At 43.8% G+C, this 9435-nt stretch overlaps 1 long non-coding RNA gene across 1 annotated transcript; it reads right to left on the bottom strand.

Moving 5' to 3' along the window:
- Positions 1–1774: 1774 nt before the first annotated feature.
- On the bottom strand, positions 1775–7985 carry LINC00891 (long intergenic non-protein coding RNA 891). Its single transcript, NR_034005.1, has 3 exons — positions 7880–7985; positions 4138–4360; positions 1775–2509 (listed from the first exon to the last, which is right to left on the bottom strand). It is a non-coding gene; the product is annotated as a long intergenic non-protein coding RNA 891 (long non-coding RNA).
- Positions 7986–9435: the final 1450 nt, after the last annotated feature.

Raw genomic sequence — 9435 nt, 5'->3', positions numbered from 1 at the left:
AAAACAGACATGGAGACCAATGGAACACAATAGAGAACCCAGAAATGAGGCCCCACACCTACAACTATCTGGTCTTTGACAAACCTGACGAAAGCAAGCAATGGGGAAAGGATTCCCTATTCAGCAAACGGTGCTGGGATAACTGGCTAGCCATATATGGAAGACTGAAACTGAACCCCTTTCTTACACCAGGTACTAGTCCGTTCTCTTGCTGCTAATAAAGACATACCCGAGACTGGGTAATTTATAAAGAAAAGAAGTTTAACGGACTCACAGTTCCACATGCCTTGGGAGGCCTCACAATCATGGCAGAAGGCGAAGGAGGAGCAAAGGATGTGCGTTACATGGCGACAGGGAAGACAGCATGTGCAGGGGAACTGCCCTTTATAAAACCATGAGATCTCATGAGACTTATTCGCTATCATGAGAACAGCACAGGAAAAATCCACCCCCGTGACTCAATTACCGCCCACCGGATCCCTCCCACAACACGTGGGGATTATGGGAGCTACAGTTCAAGAGGAGATTTGGGTGGGAACACAGCCAAACTATATCACACCATACACAAAAGTTAACTCAACATGGATTAAAGACTTAAATGTAAAACCCCAAGCTATAAAATCCCTGAAAGGCAACCCAGGCAATCATTTTCTGGATAAGGAATGGGCAAAGATTTCATGACGAAGACACCAAGAGCAATTACAACAAAAGCAAAAATTGACAAATGGGATCTAATTAAACTAAAGAGCTCTGCACACTAAAGGAAACTACCAGCAGAGTGAACAGACAACCTACAGAATAAGAGAAAACTTTTGCAGACTATGGATCTGACAAAGGTCTAATATCTAGCATCTATAAGGAACTTAAACAAGTTTACAAGGAAAAAACCAAACAACCCCATTAAAAAGTGGGCAAAGGACACGAACAGTCACTTTTCAAAACAAGACGTACATGCGGCCAACAATCCTGTGAAAGAAAGCTCAACATCACTGACCATTAGAGAAATGCAAATCAAAACCACAATGAGATACCATCTCACGCCAGTCAGAATGGCTATTACTACAAAGTAAAAGAATAATGGATACTGGCGAGGTTGCAGAGAAAAAGGAACACTTATACACTGTTGGTGAGAGTGTAAATTAGTTTAACCATTGTGGAAGACAGTGTGGTGATTCCTCGAAGACCTAAAGACAGAAATACCATTCGGCCCAGCAATCTCATCGCTGAGCATATACCCAAAGGAATATAATAAATCATTCTGTTATCAAGACACGTGCACGTGTATATTCATTGCAGCACTATTCACAATAGCAAAGACATGGAATCAACCTAAATGCCCATCAATGGTAGACTGGATAAAGAAAATGTGGTACATATACACCACGGGATACTATGCGGCCATAAAAAAGAATGAGATCAGGTCCTTTGCAGGAACATGGTTGGATCTGGAGACCATTATCCTTAGCAAACTAATGCAGGAACAGAAAACCAAATATCGCATATTCCCACTTACAAGTGGGAGCTAAACCATGAGAACACGGGGACACAAAGAGGGGAACAACACACACTGGGGCCTATTGGACGGTGGAGGGTGGGAGGATGGAGAGGAGCAGGAAAAATAACGAATGGGTACTAGGCTTAATCACTGGGTGACGAAACAATTTCTACAAGAAACCCCCACGACACAAGTTTACCTATGTAACAAACCTGTACATGTACCTCTGAACTTAAAATAAAAGTTCAATTCAAGAAATAAGAATAATATGGTTTGGTGTTGACTGTTATGTACTTTTATATTAGTGGAATCAGAAAATATGTTCATATTTCTTGCTTCTTGTGTTTAATGTCAGGAGTTTGGTTTTGGATATTTAAATTTGAGATGCCTATTAGGTATCCACGTGGAGAAGCTGAGTAGACAAAGGTCTGGATCTGGGCTGAAGAAATACATATGAGAGTCATCGTAGTATCGATTTTTTTTTTTCAGGGCCCATCGCAGAGCTTATAGCTTGCAGTGAACGCCAAGAATGAGTTCTCAGACAAATCCAGCTGAGGGGGGCCGGGGGCAGCTCTTCTAAGAGACTCCGCCCCAGCATCTGTCCGCCAAGTATTCATTGAAAGGGCTTGTTAGACCACAAACATCCACTAGATGGCCTTTTTGAGGTCGGGTCATGAGACACCTGTGGCCTGGTAAAAGCACTCAAACCGCATTCTCGGGAGGCTGTTTTCAGCGTTCCTTATCACACCACACACTCCACTCCCCGTCCTGTTTTCAGGGTCAAGGAGTTTCATTCTCATGCACAAATAACATACACACAGTGCCTCAGTATGTTTCCATGCCCCGACCTCAAACGCCTTGTACATAAGCTTGAATATGCTGTCGTGCACCCCGCCATATTCCCCCCTTCTTTAATTCTTATAGCGTGCTGGTCATCCAATGCAAGGTAAGCTTCCATGATTCTTCCCTGGTCATAGATGCGTCGGGTGGCAGCACAGAGCCATCTGCAAGTGCCTAGCAAACAGATACAAAAAAGAATAAGTACAGCGGCCATCACCCAAATGCGTATGTTTAACCCAGACAACCAAGTGTTCGGGTTTAACCATTGAAAGCCTTCTTGTAATTGCTGAAGGATACTTGTTTGTAATTGCTGCGACCATTCTTCAAGGTGTTTCTTTAATTCACACTCAAGAATGGAAATTTGAGAAGACAAATGGTCGTGATAAGCCCCTTGCAGATGTGCTTTCACTCTCTCCCAAGCATATTGGGAGCTATTATATGGCAGAGGCGTGACACAGATAGAATTATATTGCCAATCAACAATGTAAATTTTGATGGGTAATGAATGCCTGCTGCTGATTCCCCAGTTATTCAACAGCGGCTTCAAGAGACCGGGCGAGACAGAATGGTTTTATCTATATTTACCTGTTCTTGAAATTCACGGGTTACATTATACACCATGTGGTTCACCACTGAGGCTGTGTGAATAGATTCTGTCAGAGAAACAGCTGCAGTAGCAGCAGTTGCTAATATAATAATAGCTGAGACTAAAAAGGCAATTAAAGTGGCCAGGAATCTTTTTTTTTTTTTTTTTTTCCGAGTATGAGATAGTGATTTTCTAAATAGCTGCAGGGTGGAATCTCCTTTTCAGCTCCAGGTTAAATTTACAGGCAGCCACAATTCTGCACGCCATTTTAAGATCATGACATAGGTTATATCCAACTGTGTAATGTTTCGATGGACAAGCATGCAGCATACCAACTACTGGAAGAGACTTTAATACTATAAAAAGATTGATTCTGCTCTATGTTAGGAACACCTTGCCCAAACAAAAGTATATAAGGGTGCGTGGTACAAATCAGGACTGTGTCAGTAACATTATTATGCAAAGAGAGGGTATGGTTGCCACCGCCAGTAATATACTCACCATGTGAAAGAACCCGTTCAAAAAAAGGAAATCCTAATCTCCAAATTTGGGTATGAGCAGGGCTTAAAGCTTGTTTCCCTCTCACTTGTAATACTGGTCCTGAAAGCCCATACTCTGACTAGGTAATAGGACTACTGGAGGGACTCCCAAGTCCAATAGTCTGATTTGCAGACATAAGATTACCACGGGGACCCCAATCAAGTAAGGTGCCATTATCAAACAGAGGCCCTTGACGTGGAGCAGGCTGTCTGCACGGCGACCACTGGACGGCCTCAAACTTTTATCGCCAGTCCCTACTCGGACGGCATATAGGAAGATCAGGCACTTGTGTAGCTTCATTAGAGACCTCAGTAAGATTAGTGGTAATAGTAGAAATAAAGGTCAAGTTTGCAAGCTTAGCATCCCTTTTAGGCTGATAGTAAAGATACTCCTGAGGGATGAGAGTAACACACTTATCATGTGCTATTGTGGAAAAACAAAGAGGGGGATTACTAGACAATAAAATCGAGGAGTAATTAAGTTGAATCCATCCCAAATTTTCAGTTACGGGGTAAGACAGAGGCATCCATCGGCCTCCTGCCCAAGAAGTATCATTAGATGACAAAGGCGGGTCAGCATCCCACCATGTAATAACATTAAAAACAGGGGGATTTAGAACATGACTCCAATAAACATGTCCTTAAGCTGATCCCACTTAGCAAAGGACAAGAATTACCTGCCACCCCAACATCCATGTCTGTCTTACTTTCTCAGAAGTTTCCCCAATTGCCACCAGATATGTAAGAAACCGATTGTCTGCAGTTGCAGGGGCTTCCACGGCGGCAAGCTGGATAGATGCTTGTTGATTCAATTTCTTTAGCTGTCCCCAGGTGATGTCAGGTGCCTTCCGAGTCATCACCATCATTGTTGGTTGGTTCTCCAACGACTGGTCCTGTTCTCTAGAAGAGAGCCCCATATTCCCCCCCGCCCTTTTTAAATTAAGATATACTTTAAGAGTTTGATGAGCTCGTTTAACAATGGCCTGACTGGTTGAGTTATAAGGAATATCAGTTTTATGTTGCATGTGCCAAAGTTGCAATGCATATGTAAATCGAGCACTAAGATAGGAAGGTCCATTATTAGTTTTTATAGTGTGTGGAAGGCTTAGAGTTATCATAGATTTAAACAAATGAGCGATTGCATCTTTAGTTTTTTCTCCTGTCTGGGAGGTAGCATGTATTAGGCCTGTATATGTGTCCACGGTAACATGGAGAAATTTAAAACGTCCAAAGGGTGGACACCGAGTGACATTAGTTTGCCAGATAGCATTAGGCACCAGACCTCGTAGGTTGGCACTAAGCCCTAAGGAAAAGGGGGAAAGAGAATGCTGTTGGCAATTAGGACAAGTTTTAATAATCATGCAAGCTTGAGTAAGTGTCAAATGAAGCTGTTGTTTAAGACGGCGGGCGTTCCGATGAAAAAACAACATGATCAGCTTGAGCTTGCAAAAAAGCAGGAGAATTTGCAAAGCACATCTGTGGTCGTACCAGAGCATCAGCTCAAGCATTCCCTTCTGATAAGGACCAGGTAGCCCAGAATGACGGCGAATATGTGTGATGTAAAGAGGGTGATGACAGGCACAGAGGAGCTCTTGCGCTGCAAGAAACAAAGCTAATAGGGGTTTATTAGTAATGCCCTTCACATGTGCAAGATCTAAATGAGTAATACTATACACCACATAAGCGGAATCACCAACGATATTTATGTCTTGGTGAGGAAAAGTTTGTAAGGCCAATATCAGGGCACCTAATTCCGCCTGTTGCATAGTTTTTAAAATGCTCCTGGATTTTGTACTGCCAGTTCTGCATGGCATCTTGCCACACTATAGCTGCTTTTTCAGTTTTTGGGTTTTTTTTTAACCATCTGTAAAGACAGTGGTGGCATGAAGTAAAGGCTCAGAGACAACAATACATACAAATTAAACAGGTACAGTTTGTAAAAAGTTCAGGAGCTTAGAGGCTGGTAAATGAAAGCTGATATTACCAATAAAGACAGCCATTGCTACTTGCCAATCAAGATCACAAGCTAAGAGAGTGTGAAATTGTTCCTTGCTTAAAGGTAGGAAAAGAGTAGCAGGGTCTTATCCTGACAGCTGGACGCAACGTTGGCGTCCTTTTATGAGAAGAGAAGCTATTATATCTGTAGTCTTTTGTATAAGTTTAGAGGGATTATGAGACAGGTACATAACATATAAAATACCGAAATGGCAAAAGATAAAGCCTACCTGTTAAACTAAGGCATGGAAAGGATGGATATTTTAAGTGATTTTTACTATATTTTGGCCCTTGAAAGCCATTAGAAAGTGACTGCAAGTCGCCAGGATAATAAACCTGCATTGAGTTAGCTTAAGTGTGTTAAAAAGAAAAGAAAACAAAAAAAAGCTTTTTAAAATGTCCTTTGGTGTTAGCCATTTTCCTGCATCAGCCTTTAGCTGGAATGTCTTAGAAGTGAGCTTGGGAAAGTAGGGCTGTGGCCAGTTTCTTTCTATTCGTTCTGGGCCCCTTAGGCAGCTTCTCTTTTTAATAGCCTGCCACTTGTTGCTGTCCTTACCCTGAGAGGAAGGAAGGAAGAGTACAAGCGGCAGTAAGAGGCCAGAGAATGACCGGGTGGTAAACTGTGTGTGGAAGTGCGGAGGCTGGAGGCAAGAAGGTAACAGGCTGGGAGAAAAACACTCCCCTTATCTTCTAGGCCACCTACGCCTGCAGCCAACCCTGTTAGGTGAGGTACTGAAAATATACTGGGCTTTTTATTATTTTTACCACCCCCAAGCAGAGAGGCTCAGGGGAGGAGCAGACATGCAGCACAGGGTCTGCTTTGAAGTTTCTTAACCACAGTGTTTTTAAACATTTTGTAAAAAAGCAAAACAAACACTCCTTACTGCTGCGTCTATCTTCTGAAGATGACAGCAGCTGGCAGAGCTCGTCCCCCTCAGTCTAGTTAGCATTTAATATATGGCTATGGGAGAGCGCCCCTTATTAGTGGGCTCCTCCTCCAGGGCTCTGTACTCCGGGCTGCTCCACACTCCTTTGCCCACCTTAGGCTAGTAAGGTCCGGGTGCACATGGACTATTTCTCAGCCCTTTCCCTAGGGGGCCAGGGAAGACAAGGAATTGCTCGTCAACTGAGACATGTGAGGAGTGGCAGGGAAGGGCAGAAGTAGGAAAAGCAGCAGCACGGCAAGCAGCAGGCCACTTCCTGGGCACAGTTACTAAGGCACGTGACCATGGTGAGGCGGATCCTCAGGACTGGGCTGGAGCTGCCTGCAGCCACCCGGGGACTCGGTCTGTGCCTTTTGGCCTTCCCTCCGTCACCACAAACCCAGAAAGGGGCAACCTGCCCAGGCTGCCAGTGACCAAGTGTGCACTCCATGGCATCTCAGCAACTCTCCTGCCCCAGGCCTCTGTGGGCAGCAAGAAAGCTAGAGCTATCTGGGATAAAACCCAGGAGGCAGCATGCAACTTCCCCTTTTACTCCAGTGAAACAGAAAAAAGACAAGGCCAGAAAGGCTGATGCTGGAAGTAGCAAATGGGAACTTGCATATTAGGAAGACAATCATAATCAGCCACTTTCCTTCCCTCCTGGACGCACCCCTCCAGCAGGGAAGTTAGTCGAGGAGACGCAGCCACCCAATCATACAGATCATACAGATGTTCGCTGACCGGGGGTCTTATCTAAGAGCCGTCCCTTGGGCGGCCTCCAATCTCCTTAAGGGGGATGGAAGGCGCTGTTGGCTGAACAGGGCCAACAAATGCAGGTCCTTTTAAGGGTGGAGGAAAGAAGGGCAATGGCTTTTCTACAGGGGGAGGAAAAGGCTCCCGTCCGTCCTTATCCTCACTAAAAAAAAAAAAAAAAAAAAAAATCCTCCTTATGCCCTACAGAAGGGAATGAGGTAGAGAGAGGAGCACCCCCACCCCCCAACCACTGTTCTGGTTCCTGTTTGTCCTCACTAGAAAAAAACCTCTTCCTTATTCCCCATAGAACGGAATGAAGTGGGGAGAGGAATCTCTCCCTTCAAATCTTCTGAATTCTTTTCAGGTGGAGATAATGGGCGATCTAACCACGATCTGGCAGATAAAGAGGATACAACGCAGAGCGTACCAGCGCCCAGGTGGTCAAAATAGTAACATTAGTAAAATGACCCTGCTCATATCCTCTTTTCAGGCAGCGACCTACCTGCTCTCATAACCCTAAATCTAAGGTTCCTTGATCAGGAAACCAAGGGCATTTCTGCCAAATTAAAAGCATAAGCTTGTGTAGAGCTCCAGGCTCTACAGTGCACTGGATAGCCTTAAGTAGCTGTTGCACTGTTTTAAAAAATACTTTCTGTTCTTTGGTCATTTCCTGACCCATGATAACCCAACCCGCGATAGTTTACGCATGGGTCCCGTCCTCCTGATGGGAGTCAGGACTGTCCCTTACCAGGATTCCCCGAAAAGTAATGAGCTCTCCTCCTTCACGCGTAACTTCAAGGCGATCACGTCGGGGTCACCACTTGCAGAGCTTATAGCTTGCAGTGAACGCCAAGAATGAGTTCTCAGACAAATCCAGCTGAGGGGGGCCGGGGGCAGCTCTTCTAAGAGACTCCGCCCCAGCATCTGTCCGCCAAGTATTCATTGAAAGGGCTTGTTAGACCACAAACATCCACTAGATGGCCTTTTTGAGGTCGGGTCATGAGACACCTGTGGCCTGGTAAAAGCACTCAAACCGCATTCTCGGGAGGCTGTTTTCAGCGTTCCTTATCACACCACACACTCCACTCCCCGTCCTGTTTTCAGGGTCAAGGAGTTTCATTCTCATGCACAAATAACATACACACAGTGCCTCAGTATGTTTCCATGCCCCGACCTCAAACGCCTTGTACATAAGCTTGAATATGTTGCCGTGCACCCCCGACACCCACTCCAGAGACAGAAATTACACCACTTTTCTATTGAGTTATGTTAAAATACACGTAACATAAAATTTACCATCTTAAGTGTTTTTCAGTTTTGGGTTCAGTAGTGTTAAGTATATTTGCATTGCTGTGCAGCCAATCTCCAGCATGTCTTCAACTGCAAAACTGAAATGTATACCCATTAAACAACTCCTCATTTTTCCCTGCCCCGCAGCCTCTGGAAACCACCATTCTACCTGCCGTTTCTGAGTTTGAATATTTTAGATCCCGTATATAGGCGGAATCATGTAGTATTTGTCCTTTTGTGACTGGCTCATTTCATAGCATAAGGTCCTAAAATTTTATCCACGTTGTAGCCTGTATCAGAACTCCATCCTTTTACAGGTCAAATCGTAATTCATTGTAAGGGCCAAATAGTGGACCACATTTAGTTTCTGTATTCACCCATCAGTGGACACTTGGGTTGCTTCCATCTCTTGGCTCTCATGAATAATGCTGCTATGAGCACGGATGTACAAATATCTCTGAGACTCTGATTTCTATTTTTTCGATATAGACACAGAATGGAATTACTGGATCATATGGTAATTCTCTTTTTAGTTTTCTGAGTAACCGCCATACTGTTTTCCACAGCAGCTGTGCCATTTTACATTCCCACCAACAGTGCACAAAGGTTCCAGTTTCTGCACATCTTCACCAGTATCACATCAGTTTTATTGAACAAATGGAATTTATTTCATTTCTTTGTATTTTGTTTTTGTTTATTTGTAATGACACAATCGTATACATTTGTAGTGTACAACATGATGATTTGAAATACGTATACATTGTGCAATGGCTAAATTAGGCTAACTACAATATGTATGAACTCACATACCTTTCATCTTCTGTGGTGAGAACACTTAAAATCTACCCTCTTAACAATTTTCAAGGATACATTATTATTAACTATAGTCACCATGTCTACAATAGATCTCTTGAACTTAGACTTCTTGTCTAAATGAAGTTTTGTATCCTCTGACCAATATCTCCCCAATCCTTCCCAGCCCCAGACCCTGGTAACCACCATTCTATTCTCTGT

The sequence above is a fragment of the Homo sapiens genome, chromosome X, assembly GCF_000001405.40.
Source record: "Homo sapiens chromosome X, GRCh38.p14 Primary Assembly".
In the NCBI taxonomy this organism is placed as follows: domain Eukaryota; kingdom Metazoa; phylum Chordata; class Mammalia; order Primates; family Hominidae; genus Homo; species Homo sapiens.
The sequence above is the reverse complement of the archived record's forward strand: the minus strand, read 5'-3'. Positions and strand labels throughout refer to the sequence as shown.